Source organism: Homo sapiens, chromosome 2 (assembly GCF_000001405.40).
Source record: "Homo sapiens chromosome 2, GRCh38.p14 Primary Assembly".
Taxonomy (NCBI): domain Eukaryota; kingdom Metazoa; phylum Chordata; class Mammalia; order Primates; family Hominidae; genus Homo; species Homo sapiens.
In genome coordinates, this window is record NC_000002.12 from 208,063,450 (window position 1) to 208,078,952 (window position 15,503).

At 43.9% G+C, this 15,503-nt stretch overlaps 1 long non-coding RNA gene and 1 other non-coding gene across 2 annotated transcripts, besides 1 other annotated feature; one reads left to right on the forward strand and one right to left on the reverse strand.

Annotated features, from left to right (window-relative positions):
- Nucleotides 1,254-13,749, forward strand: LOC105373854 (uncharacterized). Its single transcript, XR_923815.3, has 4 exons — nt 1,254-1,341; nt 6,082-6,252; nt 8,814-8,911; nt 13,507-13,749. It is a non-coding gene; the product is annotated as an uncharacterized LOC105373854 (long non-coding RNA).
- Nucleotides 1,281-1,330: an enhancer, noted in NCBI's record as "active region_17050". NCBI's record gives its function as "activates an Ori minimal core promoter by ATAC-STARR-seq in GM12878 lymphoblastoid cells {active_cell/tissue: GM12878}" and the evidence as "EXISTENCE:reporter gene assay evidence [ECO:0000049][PMID:35858748]".
- On the reverse strand, nt 10,612-10,713 carry LOC124905439 (small nucleolar RNA U13). The gene has a single exon (XR_007088765.1). It is a non-coding gene; the product is annotated as a small nucleolar RNA U13 (small nucleolar RNA).
- Nucleotides 13,750-15,503: the final 1,754 nt, after the last annotated feature.

Sequence of the window (15,503 nt, forward strand, 5' to 3'; positions counted from 1 at the left end):
AACAATGAGCACAAGCCAGGCATGGTGGCTCATGCCTGTAACCCCAGCACTTTGGGAGGCCAAGGCAGGCAGATCACTTGAGGTCAGGAGTTCGAGACCAGCCTGGCCAACATGGTGAAACCTCATCTCTACTAAAAATACAAAACATTAGCTGGGCGTTGTGGCAGGTGCCTGTAATCCCAGCTACTGTAATCCCAGCTGAGGCAGGAGAATTGCTTGAATCCGGGAGGCGGAGGTTGCAGTGAACCGAGATCTCACCACTGCACTCCAGCCTGGGTGACAGAGTAAGACTCTATCTCAAAATTTAAAAATGAAAAAAAATCAGCTGGGCATGGCAGTGCGTGCCTTTAGTCCCAGCTACTGGGGTGGCTGAGGTGGGAGGATTGCTTGAGCCCAGGAGGTTGAGTTTGCAGTGAACTGTGATTGTGCCACTGCACTCCAGTCTGGACAACAGAATGAGACCCTGTTTCCCACAAAAAGAAAAATAAAACACAATAAGCAGTGAGCTGTATTACAGATAAAAGTATAATATTCTTAATATGTAAAGAACTCTAAATAAATGGAAGGACAAAGGATCAAAAGCCTGATTTAAAAAATGGGAAAACTACATTAATACACAATTCTGATAAGAAAAAGGCTGATTATGCCTGTAATCTCAGCACTTTGGGAGGCCGAGGTGGGTGGATCACTTGAGCTCAGGAGTCTGAGACCAACCTAGGCAATATGGCGATAACCCCATCTCTACAAAAAATACAAAAATTAGCCTGATGTGGTGGCACACACCTGTGGTCCCAGCTACTCAGGAGGCTGTGGTGGGAGAATCGCTTGAACCAGGGAGGCAGAAGCTGCAGTGAGCTGAGATTGCACCATTGCACTCCAGCCTGGGCAACACAACCAGACCCTGACTTAAAAAAAAAAAAAAAAAAAAAAAAAGTAGGGAGAGTTTTAAAGTGTTAGTTATATCAGAAGTAGACCGTCTGTATCCGTCTCTGTCGGTGAACAGAAGACCCAAATAGAATAATTTAGAGGAATTTAATAAAGAATCAGGTTTAAGGGAACCTCACAAAGAATGGTGCAGTATCCTGAAGTTAGCAAGAACCAGGAAGATATTATTGGTCTAGGCCTGAACTAATTGACAGAGAATATGGTGTAGCTAAATGGAGAATGCTGCCTGGAGAGCCAGAAAGCCAAACCACAATGACTCAGCTGGGATGAAGCTGGGGAATAAAACCAGCACTCTCACGCTCCCTTACCTCCTCCATGGAACTTCTGTTGTCATCCAGTGGCTGAAATCAACTGGAAGCCTACAGGGAAAGACCTGCCTCCTGGGACACAGAGCAGGTGAGGAAGGGACAAAGCATTACCCTAGAGAGATGAATGAAAACTATTCTGCACACCAACTCTTTCAAACGGTGTGCTTCATATGCGGAACTGAGAGTCTCAGAATGATCACAAGACACCACCGTGTAGAAGATAGGAACTTGAGGATGCCCCCTTTTAAGAGTGGGTTTGGGCAGGAGTTAAATAATATCTGAATTGGCCAGGCACAGTGGCTCATGCCTGTAATCCCAGCACTTAGGGAACCCAAGGCTGGAGGATCGCTTGAGGCCAGGAGTTCAAGATCAGCCTGGGCAACATAGCAAGACCCTCTCTCAATAATAATAATAATAATAATAATAATAATAATAATAATGTTTTGGCTAGGCATGGTGGCTCACCTCTGTAATCCCAGCACTTTGGGAGGCTGAGGCGGGTGGATCACAAGGTCAGAAATTCAAAACCAGCCTGGCCAAGATGGTGAAACCCCGTCTCTACTAAAACTACAATAATTAGTCAGGCACAGTGGCAGGTGCCTGTAATCCCAGCTACTTGGGAGGCTGAGGCAGGAGAATCGCTTGAACCTGGGTAGCAGAGGTTGCAGTGAGCTGAGATCGTGCCACTGCACTCCACCCTGGGCAACAAAGTGAGACTCCCTCTCAGTAATAATAATAATAATAATAATAATAATAATAATAATAATAAAGTTTTATAATCTTTGTTATCACAAAGCTTTACCATATTATTTTACCATATTATTATAACCATAGTAAAATAGGTGAATAATAATAGGTGAAAGACAACTATACCTTCTTTGACACTGCTCCCATTGAGAAATGGGACCTATGTCTCCTCCCCTCGAGTCTGACTGCTTTGACCAGTAGAATATCCGGGGAGTGGCACTGTACTGGTTTCCAAGCTTGGCTTTAAGAGACTGGCAGCTTCCATTTCCTGTCTCTTAGGACATTGATTGGAGCCCCGAGCTTCCCTGTGAGAGTCTGACTACCCAGAGGCTGCCATCGAATAAGGAAGCCTAAGGTGGCTGCAGGAAGAAACTGTGGAAAGGCGGGTGGGGAGGGACAGACAGACAGAGGGAGAAAGAGAAACAGATGCCCAGCCAACCCCTGGTTGTTCTGGTCCCCCCGCTATTCCAGTCTTGCAGCTGAGGCCTCAGGCATTCTGGAGCAGAAATGAGCTGTCCCTTGCTGTGCCCTGTTTGAAGATAGTCATGATAAATGGTTGTTTCAAGCCACTACAGTATTGTGCAGTAATAATAGATACTTGGGCAGAATTTGGTACTTGGAAGTGGGGTGCTATCATAACGAATACCCAAACCATATGGCACTGGCTTTGGGACAGAGTGTCAGGGAGAAGCAGAAAAAGCCAGGAGGAGACTATGGGTGAGGGTGTGAAAGACTGAGCAAAGTATTTATAGGGGCTGGAAAACAGAGGACTCTTTATGTAGCGACAGAAAGTGTGAGGACACTGTCGCCTATGGGAACGTGGAAAACAGAAAGAGTGCTTAACAGCTTGTGGGGTTGGCTAGAGAGATGTCCAAGCAGAATGTAGAAGGTGCCAACTGGCTTTTTTCAGTTGCCTATGACAAAATATGAGACAGGAGAGATGATCTAAAGAAAAATTGTGGGCTCGGTGCAGTGGCTCATGCCTCTAATCCCAGCACTTTGGGAGGCCGAGGCAGGAGGATCACGAGATCAGGAGTTCAAGACCAGCCTGGCCAATGTGGTGAAACCCTGTCTCTACTAAAAATATAAAAAATTAGCAGGGTGTGGTGGTGCACGCCTGTAAATCCAGCTACTTGGGAGGCTGAGGCAGTAGAATCACTTGAACCCGGGAGGCGGAGGTTGCAGTGAACTGAGATCACGCCACTGCACTCCAGCCTGGGCGACAGGGTGAGACTCTGTCTCAAAAAAAAAAAAAAAAAAGAAAAAAAGAAAGAAAAAAGAAAAATTGTTCAAGTTCTTAGCAAAAATGGAAAAGTACAAATATTGGGTTATAAAATAAAACTGTTGCTTATCCCTGGTCTTTTCCATTAAAAGATTCCCAAATAATAAATATCTCTAGGGCCTAAGATCAAATCCAGAATAAGATGCTTTGTCAGAAAAATTTAAGGGCAGGCCTAGTAGTATGTCTAAGAATCTCAAGGATGTGCCTCATAGACCATCTCAGTAAACAATAGAACTTTTAAGACTCCTAAAGGTGTTGTCTCACAGGAACCTCAAAGGAGATCCAGGTATTTCTAATGAGTAAAATGGGCACATTTGCATCTTCTTGACAGGATTGCTGTGACTATTAAACAAAATAATACCCATTCATTCTAAATATATGCTGATGTCTACTCTATCCCAGGCACTGTACTAGTGTTTGATAATTTCTAAGAGTTATTAATCTGCAGGATTCTGGAACAAAAAACTAGAATTCTTGAGAATTCTTGGTGATCCTCAAAATCATAAGTTATCTACATTTCCCCATAACATCTTCTTGGTATGTTTTTAAAAACAATGACTGACTACACTAGTAAATAGCGGACCATTTTTCTGTGATGGGATTATACAAAAAGTTTCTAAAGCTTTCTGCAACCAAAACAAACAAGAAATCCCCCCAGACAGTGATAATAAATGCATGGGTTATATGGTTTATTATTATTATGGACATATATATTGAGACAAGATTACACTACATTTCAATGACCCATAAAAATAATTTCTACCTGAGTTAGACAATAGAATATATTAAAAGAAGGGAACATTAACACACAATAATGCCAAATAAAATGATTCAAACAATTGAAAGATAATACTGCAAACATTTACATTTTAAAAGTTATTCTTTTTTGGAGACGGAGTCTTGCTCTGTCACCCAGGTTGGAGTGCAGTGGTGCAATCTCGGCTTACTGCAACCTCCGCCTCCCAGGTTCAAGCAATTCTCCTACCTCAGCCTCCCGAATAGCTGAGATTACAGGCTCATGCCACTGCGCCCGGCTAATTTTTGTATTTTTAGTAGAGACAGGGTTTCACCATGCTGCCCAGGCTGGTCTCAAACTCCTGAACTCATGATCTGCCCGCCTTGGCTTCTCAAAGAGCTGGGATTACAGGCGTGGGCCATTGCGCCCGGCCAAAAGTTATTCTTAAAATGAAATTGAAAAACACATAAAGCATGAATTGCCCTGAATGTCTTGGTCCTTGTTTCCTGACAAATATTCCAGGTGTAGAATGTTTTTTCATCCTCTGTTAATGTTAATTTATTATTACTAAGAATGTGTCTACAAGCTTCTTCGAATTGAGCATTAGGGTACGTGTTGGTTATTATAAACTCATTCACTTTTCTTAATGATGAAAATAATTGTCTTCTTTCACTGGTTTTGATTTTTTTCCTTGAAGTCTATGTTATTTTCGCTAATTCAGATTTTAGATGTTTCTGACTTCGTGATGGAATAGTTCCCAACAATATTCACTCTTCTTTGCATTGCTTCTGATAAAGCATATTTTCCTCCACAAAAGTCTTTCCTTAATGATTTTGCTAATTGAGCCATTTCATTTTTGTTTGCTGAAGCAAAAAGAGTTGTCAACCTCATATAAACTAACTGCTGAAATATTTTAATGAGAAATATGAGATCTTTTTTCTGCATTAAATAATTCAATTCTAACTTCTTTTAAAAGCATACTACTCAAAGCACAAGTCTGTTTTCGATTAGAAGATTTGCATCATGATTACTTAATGCTTCAACTACTAATCAAACAAGTTTTAAGCAAGTTATTGTCTCTCTCACAATTTGACAATATTCCATTTTCTCTCTCCTTTCTTCCTGCCCCCCCTACTTCCTCCCTTCCTTTTTTTTTTTTTTTAGACAGAGTCTCACTCTTGTCGCCCAGGCTGGAGTGCAATGGCGTGATCTCAGCTCATTGCAAACTCCGCCTCCTGGGCTCAAGCAATTCTCCTGCCTCAGCCTCCCAAGTAGCTGGGATTACAGGCATCCACCACCATGCCCAGCTAATTTTTGTATTTTTAGTAAAGACAGGGTTTCACCATGTTGGTCAGGCTGATCTCGAACTCCTGACCTCAGGTAATCTGCCCGCCTTGGCCTCCCAAAGTGCTGGGATTACAGGCATGAGCCACCGTGCCTGGCCCCCTTTCTTCTTTTTTTAAGACAAGGTCTTACTGTGTTACCCAGGCTGGAGTGCAGTGGCACGATCATAGCTCACTGCAAGCCTTAACACCTGGGCTCAAGTGATCCTTCTGGCTCAGCCTCTTGAGTAGCTGGGACTACAGGTGTGCACCACTACACTCAGCTATTTTTTTATTTTTAGCAGAGACAGGGGCTCGCTATGCTGCCCAGGCTGGTCTCAAATTTCTGAGCTCAAGTTATCCTTCCATCTTGGCCTCCCAAAGTGCTGGGATTACAGGTGTGAGCTGCTGTGCCCGGCCTGTGTTTTTTTTCTTTCTTTATGCAAGAGAGAATTTCTTATTGGAGAAAATGTAAACAGTTTTACAACTTTCCTTTTTCTAAAAATTGCCAGAAAGACACGACCTTGTGGATTATACTGACTGGCTCCAGCCACATCATCTGAATCAGAGTAATTGCTTTCATCTGTGTCATAGACAGACTACACTGTGTTCACCTCCTCTGCCAGTTGTTTCTGATGCTGTAACCTCCAGTTTTTGAGTAAAACACTTTTGTTACAGCAAGAAGGAACACATTTGCTGAAAACTTTCCAAATTTTTTCGTTACTGCTGCACCATCACTAGCTGTTGATATCGATGGAATTCCTGACCAGTAACATTTCCATGAAGATCATTACAATTTATTTCTTGAAATTCTGGGAAGGCATGGAAACATCACATTGCAGCAGATGCTGGGGATGCAGCAATGAACAAGACAGGCCAGATCCCTACTCTCAGATAAACACAATGATCCAGGTATTTCCAATAATGAAATGACACTGAAGAAATAAGGTGATGTGTCTGGGGATGGCTGTGATATTTTTAGTTAGTATTGAGGTTTAGCGGCATGTAACAGTCAAGCTGCAAATAACAGTGTATTAAATTAGATAGAAACTTTTTTTTTTTTCACGTCAAAGTTATCTAGAGGCTGGTATTGCACACTCCACCCCTATCCCACAGTGCCATTAGCCAGGCCCCTACCTGCTCTTCCTCCCATCCTCACTGCCATCTCAGCATCCAAGGTGTTTTCAGGAGCTCCAGTGATCACATCTGCATTCCAGATAGCAGGAGAGGGGAAAATAGGAAGAAGAGCTGTTTGCTTCCCCCTTTTTTCTCTCCACTTTTTTTTTTTTTGAGATGAGTTCTCACTCTGTTGCCCAGGCTGGAGTGCAGTGAGGCAATCATAGCTCACTCACTGTATCCTTGAACTCCTGGGCTCAAGCCATCCTCCAACCTCGGCCTCCCGAGTAGCTGGGACTACAGGCATGAACCACTACACTTGGCTAATAAGAAAAAAAAAACAAAAAACGAAAACAGGCTGGGCGCGGTGGCTCACGCTTATAATCCCAGCACTTTGAGAGACCAAGGCGGGTGGATCACGAGGTCAGGAGATTGAGACCATCCTGGCTAACACGGTGAAACCCCGTCTCTACTAAAAATACAAAAAAAATTAGCTGGGCATGGTGGTGCACACCTATAATCCCAGCAACTCAGGAGGCTCAGGCAGGGGAATGGCGTGAACCCGGGAGGTGGGGCTTGCAGTGAGCTGAGATCGTGCCACTGCACTCCAGCCTGGGCGACAGAACGAGACTTCATCTCAAAAAAAAAAAAAGAAAAAATTTATATTTTGTAAAGATGGTGTCTTACTATGTTGCCCAGGCTGGTCTCAAACTCCTGGCCTCAAGTGATCCTCCCAGCTCAGCCTCCCAAAGTGCTGGGATTCTAGTCATGAGGCACCTCCTCTGGCCTGTCTGCTTCCCTTTAAGGAAGCTTCTAGGAAGTCCCACTGAACATATCCGTTTACATCCCATTAGCCAGAAACATGGCCACATCCTGCTGCTAGTGAGGCTGAGAAATATGACTGATATACTGGGCAGGAAAGTTTCCAGCTAGGCCGCGCGCAGTGGCTCACACCTGTAATCCCAGCACTTTAGAAGGCCAAGGCAGGTGGATCACCTGAGACCACGAGTTCGAGATCACCCTGGCCAACATGGTGAAGCCCCGTTTCTACAAAAAATACAAAAATTAGCTGGGTATGGTGGCGCATGCCTGTAATCCCAGCTACTCGGGAGGTTGAGGCATGAAAATTGCTTGAACCCGGAAGGCGTAGGTTGCAGTGAGCTGAGATCATGCCACTGCACTCCAGCCTGGGCGACAGAGAGAGACTCTGTCTCCATCAAACAAACAAACAAACAAACAAACAAACAAAACCCAAAACATTTCCAGCCAAAGATCAGGGTTCTGTTTTGCATGTTGGGAAGGGCAGACAGGAATGAGTGGTCAAAGAGGTCTTTTCCTAGGAAGCAACAATTTGGAACTTGAATGATAAGAAGCCTCCAGTTAGATGATGGAAGCAGAATGTTTCAGGCAAGGGAAACAGCAAATGGAAAATGGCAATTTCATGGAAACAAGAAAGTCTGAAACATAATGAGAAGGAAAGGAGATTAGTCTGGGATAATAGATAATGGCTAGACCACACAGGCCTTTACCTGTCAGAGAATTGCTTTCATTTTTTAAAAAACTGAAAATTTTTAATTGCATTGGGATTTTTTTCTTTTTTTTGACTGAGTCTCACTCTATCACCCAGGGTGGAGTGCAGTGGCATGATCTCAGCTCACTGCAACTTCTGCCTCTTGGGTTCAAGTGATTCTCATGCCTCAGCCTCCTGCATAGTTGGGATTACAGGCGTGTGCCACCATGCCTGGCTAATTTTTGTAGTTGTAGTATAGATGAGGTTTCATCATAATGGCCAGGCTGGTCTCAAACTCCTGACCTCAGGTGATCTACCCACCTTGGCCTCCCAAAGTGCTGGGATTACAGGTATGAGCCACTGTACCCAGCCTGCAGTGGGAATTAATTTTAAAGGAAGGAAGTGACATGACTTAGAGTCTCGCTAGTGCTGATATATAGTAGATGTTAAAGAAATCTATCCTTAAGTACGCTGGAAATATCTTGGTTTTTAATCCTGATTACATCCCTAATCATTTAATGGGATGTGGGAAATTATTGATTGTTTTGCCTTATGTCTATAGGCAACATATAAAATTATATTTGTTCATCAGCTGCCTGAATAAAACCAATAATCCATGAGGTAGATCCACAGTAGCATGCTTTCCGTAGAGGATGTGGGGTACAGCAGATATGAGGCACTTGTGTGTTTGTGTGGAGGGGAGTACTAATAAATAAGAAAACGTCACATGTGTATGTATCTGTGCTTGAGGCAGCTCTTTGAGGATGTGTGCAAATCAAGAAAAGGGCTTTTATTTTGATTCCTTTAATTGTGCCTTATTAACTTTTTTTCTTTTTTCTTTATTAAGGTCAGTAGGCATTTGGTAGGAATCTGCATCAAACTGTTGGGCAATGGTAGACAGCAACATTGACGTCTGTAAATTTACACTTGGATTCTTAGTTTCTGGTGAGTAGTTTGTGCTCCTTCAACACTCAGTGAGAGATGATGATAAGCAAACCTTCAGCCTTCAGCTTTCCTGATGCAGTAGGAATTGCCACAAATGCCTGGCTGTGGTCGCCCTCTACTGGACGAATTAAGCCTAACGTTTAAAAGCCACCAGACCACTGTTCCCTTTATAATATCCTCTTCTGCCAAAGCCTACTCACCCTTTAGGTCTGAGAGAGGCCTCTCAGCATCCCCCCTTTCTCTCACCATCTCTGATATGTGTGTTCGTATGACTATTTGATTGACGTCTGTCTCCTCCCTTTCTGCATAGGCTGTAGTCTGCATGAGGGCAGGGACTCTGTTTGCCTCCGAGTGCCTGACACCATTCTTCAATAAATATGTGTTAAATGGATGAATAAAGGAGGAATGAAGGGCCCAAATGTCAAGAGTGAGCCTTTCACACTTCACTCTAGCTGACTGCAGCACGTAGGAGAAAATATAAATTCAAGGCATCTATCCTGCAAATTTTTTTCAAGCAACTTACGCTACTCTTAAAAACCCTGTTTATTAAAGTATTACATATATACAGAAAAGTGCACACATTGTAAGTGTCTAGTTCAATGAATTTTCAAAAACTGGTCACACCCCTGTAACCAGTACACAGATCAAGAAACAGAATGTCACCAGAAACCCAGAAACCCACCCGTGCCCTTGTGATTTTAACAGTATAGAGTTCTTTTGCATGTTTTTATATTTTATAAAAATGAAATCATACAATATGTACTTTTTTGCATCTGGCTTCTTTTCTTCTTTTTTTATTTTTTGTTTTTTTGTTTGTTTGTTTTGTTGTTTTTTTTTTTTTGAGACAGAGTCTCATTCTTGTCGCTGGAGTACAGTGGCATGATCTTGCTCACTGCACCCCCTGGGTTCAAGTGATTCTCATGCCTCAGCCTTCTGAATAGCTGGGACCACAGGCATGCATCACCACACCTGGCTAATTTTTGCATTTTTCTGTAGAGATGGGATTTCGCCATGTTTCCCAGGCTGGTCTTGAACTCATGAGCTCAAGTAATCGGCCTGCCTCAGCCTCCCAAAGTGCTGGGATTACAGGTGGGAGACACCACACCCAGCCTTGAAAACACATTTCAATATTTTGTTAAAGATGAGCAGAAAAGGGCCAGGAGCGGTGGCTCACACCTATAATCCCAGCACTTTGGGAGGCCAAGGTGGGCAGATCACGAGGTCAAGAGTTCAAGACCAGCCTGGTCAACATGGTGAAACCCCGTCTCTACTAAGAATACAAACATTAGCCAGGCATGGTAGCGTGTGCCTGTAATCCCAGCTGCTAGGGAGGCTGAGGCAGGAGAATCACTCGAACCCAGGAGGCGGAGGTTGCAGTGAGCTGAGATCGCGCCACTGCACTCAAGCCTGGGCAACAGAGCAAGACTCCGTCTCGAAAAAAAAAAGAAAAAAAGGTGAGCAGAAAAAGTTAATAGTGATTTTCCTTGGTAAAGCCTTAAGGTTTATACCAAAATCATAATCATAGAGCAGATGGCTGGAATAATACAAGATAAAGTTCACTCAACTTTAACAGTGCCTTCCCAGTATGGAAGGAATACAGAAGCTTCTTTCTCATGGGGAGGTGGTTGTGTTGAGGTGGCAAGGGCACTAAACTTATGATCAGAAGAACTAGGACTGAGTTTTGTTGTTGTTGTTGTTCAGGTTGGATGGGTAATGTGCCAGCGCTGTAACAAGGTTCAGAGGGAGGCACATATCACACTTAGGCACAAACACCAAATCATGCTCCTGAACTACAAAAGGAGTGAGTTTTACTTGGCCAGTTACCATTTCTGAGCTTCGGGTAGGTCATTCACTCTCTGAGTTTCATCTGTTAAAATGGACATGCCAATATCTGTCCCATAGAATTGTGTAGGGGAGGAAAAAAATATTTTTTCCTCTACTCTTTCTGATTCTTAGCACAAAAGATAGATTAACAAACTTATTTAAGTTTTACATGACATGGGAAGCTTCATAAGGAAATGAAGACCCAAAGAAGCAGTTAAATGTGAGCGTTGTTTATTGTAGGTTTAGTGAAGAGTGGACCACTGTGGAGAAATGTGGTAGGGCAAAAAGGGTATGATCTAATGGTAAGAAACGGGGAAACGCAGCAAGGCCTGTTTGTTCACTTTAAAATTTTTTTTTTTTTAAATAGAGAGAGGGTCTTGCTATGTTGTTCAGGCTGGTCTCAAGCTCCTGGGCTCAAGCCATCCCTCTGCCTCAACCTCCCAAATTGCTGGGATTACAGGCATGGGCAACTGCACCTGGCCCTCTGTTTTCTTTAAGACCAAGAAGTAAGACCTAGAGTGTTGAAAAACGGATAGTACTGATAGGGTAAGTGGTTACATAAAACTACATTACATAAATTACATAAATATTTCCTGGAAGCTCTGAGCCTGTCAACTGCCCAGCGTGATTCCTCACCCTGCCCTGTTCTGCACTGTGGGAACCTTTAGTCTGCAGGCTTCCTTGCTCCGTGAGTTTTGTATATTCTGCTGGGGACAGGCATGAGTGGATGGGTATTTCTCCCGCCTCTCTGTGCTTCCTGTGATGTCTTCCACAGCAGCAGAGTCTCTTTCAAGGCTCTAACTCCCTCTGAAAGGCCCTCCCTCCATGGTCCAGACCCCTGCAAGGGAGCCTCTATAATGGTTCTATTTCCAGCCAGACAATTCTAGCTTTTAGGCTGAGAATAGCATCTCTTCCTACTGTCCCTCCAGCCCACGGATGTTAGCTGATTCTTGCTGTCGCTAATCTCCGGGTTACGTCACCACCCCGTTTGGCATCTCAGCTCTTCTATCACTTTTATAATCTATTTCCTGAATTAAATTCCCCTGGATTGAAAGAGTGGCTTCTATTGTCCTGACTTGATACACTCTGATTTCATTCCTCTTCCACAAAAATGCTCAGTTCCTCACATTTATAGGAATATTTTTCTCCTTCACAAATTTTCCTCTTCTTCTCTCTACTGTGGAGGAACTAGCGTGGATTTGGAATCAGGCTGGGTTCAGACTTGGGTTCTGTTATTTCAGAACCATATGACTTGGGGTAAATTGCTAGCTTATAATAAGTGCTGAATAATTGTTTGTTAATGAATGAATGATATTTAACCATTACAATGCCTTCTGAAGATTTAAAAATTTTTTTATTTAAAAATTTATTTTGAAAGGGCAGGGTCTTGCTATGTTGCCTAGGCTGGAGTGTAGTGGCTACTCACAGACACAATTATAGTGTGCTATAGTCTTGAACTCCTGAGCTCAAGAGATCCTCCCACCTCTGCATCCTGAGAAGCTGGGACCAGAGGTCCATGCTGCTGTGCCCAGCAAACATTTTTGAGTGGTATAAATACAAAGCATTAGTAGTATACAGTTGTTCTAGAAGGACTCATTTTTAAATATTTTCTAAAATTATGTATATAAAGAATTTGGTGTAATCCCAGCACTTTGGGAGGCCAAGGCGGGTGGATCACGAGGTCAGGAAATCGAGACCATCCTGGCTAACACGATGAAACCCCGTCTCTACTAAAAATACAAAAAATTAGCCGGGCGTGGTGGCGGGCGCCTGTCCCAGCTACTCGGGAGGCTGAGGCAGGAGAATGGCGTGAACCCGGGAGGCGGAGCTTGCAGTGAGCCGAGATCGCGCCACTGCACTCCAGCCTGGGCGACAGAGCGAGACTCCATCTTAAAAAAAAAAAAAAGGAAGAATTTGGTCTTCAGGAAGACCATACTCAGGAATATGTGGTATTTGTTCAGCATTAGCTTCATCGCATAACAAGCCATGAGGGTTTTTCTCTTTTGCCTTTATAACTCTATAGACTCACATAACTATTAAAATACTATCACCTTGCATTATAATTATCTCATTTACCGTTATTACTGTTCTGCCTCCCTCCCTCTAGACTATAAATCTCACGTAGTACTTGGCACATAGAAAGCTCTCAAGAAACACTTGTTGAGTGAAGAAATATGCTATTTGATGTCTTATGTGCCTGTGTCCTTAAGCCATAGCATGCATGGAGGCCCTGAGCCATAGTAGAATTTGAATAAATGTTTGTTGTGTTATGAATCCAATATTTAAACGAGTCCAAAGGATTTAGCACTAGTTTCAATGATGAAATCAGTCAAGTCAACTTTTATTTTTAAACTGGATGTCAATTACTAATCACTTGCTAATCACTAGTTTCTAAACTAGGAAAGAGAGATGCTTTGGTCCAGAGGTTGTTTGAGTGAAGTAAGCATTTAGGTACTTGTACACTCAGTACTTCTAGACTTCCATCAAAAATTCTTCCCCGCTAAAACATTGCACTTTAGGGGTGTTTGAGTCATCCTTGTGTGGCTGAGAAAAAAAGTCCTAAAAAGTGACAAGCTAGAATGGAGGAGGGATGTCACTCTTTCCAAGATCTAACAGAACAAAGAACAGCATGATTATGGGGGGCTCAACTGCTTTGTTTGCCCGTGGTTTGAGTTTGGCCAAGGGTGAATACCATTAAGGGATCTGAGAGTGGGAGAAGAGTGAGGCCAGGATATTTATTCACCTGTTTCCCTATTGCTGTGTCTCCACAGGTTGGCTGCATCCTTCTTCTGAAGGCCACTGCTCTTTTCAGAAGACCTCCCTAGATGGCTAAGCTCTCTGGGTTGCAACAGTTGCTCTTTTTCCTTGAGCCTTAGGTTAGGGAGTTGGGAGGAAGTAATGGCTTCCCCCACTGCTAGCTCCAGGGTGCTACACTTTCTCTTTTCTAGTTTCCCTAATCTGGCTTACACCATTATAGATAGACCCTTTATTAAAATATCCTCAATTTATCCATATTGAGTGTGCCATCTGCTTCTTTTTCGGATGCTGATGCTTCAGAGTGATATGGGAAAGTATCCCAGGCATTTTTGTCTCATTCATCACACCTAGAAAGATAATTTAGGATTTGATGATGAAATAGCATGGTAGAAAATATAGCATACAAAGTTTTTCCTTGGAAGACAATCACTGGACATTCTCAAGAATGGCAAGAGAAGGCATAATAAAAATAGCTGCCAGATGGGGGACAGGACTGACTTGCAGCTCTCATGCTGACTTGCAGCATGAGGAGACTCACATTGTGAACTTTTGCTCCAAGAACTACTGCAAGAACATACCAGGAAAACCAAAAGAATTCACAGACCCTTTGAAAGAAGAGTTTGCCGCTGCAAACTCCAAGACACAGCTGAAAAACCGTGAGTGCCCAGAGTGTGAGAGGGGGAAAGTCTCTTTCCAAACACACATCCTCACTGGGGAGCCTGAAAATCCATATCATGGGAGAAGGATTTAACCTTACCTAGAGCTGAGGCGAATTTAGAGAGCTGAGCAAAATATAAAAGTAGAAGCAGCAGCAGGAAGAGCCCTGTAGGCACTCCCGGTCCCCAGGGAAGCTCAGAGAACCCATTTCTGACTTTATCTCACAGGGGCCCTTGTGGGGAGCGGGCTGCCAGTGGAATTAGGGAAAGCCCACAGGGAGAAGGAAACTTCCAGCTGAACTTTATAATGATTTCAAGCATGAATTTTCCAGAGCAGAATCTGGGGTCGGGGGCAAACAGGAAGTCCAGATAGGAGCACAGAAGCCGCAGCGAGGAGGGGAAGGCCTGAAAGCCCTGCTTGCTTTATTAGGCGCGAGGCTTGTATGGTGGCGGTGGAGGGAGTTCCCAGTCCTGCTCACTGGCAAATAAACTCACCTAGATATAAACTCGGTGCTGTCGAGGAGCACTGGGAGAGTGAGACTGGCCTTTCAGTCTGCGTGGGAGCTGGGTGAGGCCCGTCACTGCCAGTTTTCCGCAACTTCCCTGGCGACCTGTATGACAGCAGAGGCAGCCATAGTCCTACTGGGAACCTACTCCAATGGCCTGAGAACCACACCCCCTCCCCCAAGGTGGCTGCGGCAAGCCCCGCCCAAGGAGAGTCTGAGCTCAGACCCACCTGACTCTACCCCCACCAGATAGATGGTCTTTCTCCACCTGCCCTGGTAGCCAAAAACAAAAGACGTACAACTCATGGAAGTTCTAGGGCCCCGCCCATCACCTGAGAAACCTGAAGGCTCATCCAGGAGACCCTAGGGCAAGCTTGCGTCCCCCCATACTACCGCAGCTGAAGTTGTCTGAAGTTGTCTTGAAAGCGCCACCTCCTAGCTGGAGGCCAACCAACACAAACTGTTACAGCAACTCATCAAAGAATAACCCTGCCCCAAGAAAGGAGAAAACAATGGTTAACTCCACTGCCTGTAACATCCTGGCTAACCAGAGGTCCTAAGTCTGTCCACATGATAGCTTTACTGTCAGTACAACCAGCATTTGAGAAAACCGGCACGCTAAACAAAACTACAACCAAGTACTCTTACAGAGTCCGCTTCACTCCTCTGCTACCTCCACTGGAGCAGGTGCTGGTATCCACAGCTGAGAGATCTGAAGATGGAGCACATCACAGGACTCTTTGCAGACCCTCCTCAGTACCAGCCCAGAGCCCAGTAGCTCCACTGGGTGGCTAGACCCAGAAGAGAAATAACAATCACTGCAGTCTGGTTCTCAGGAAGTCCTATCTC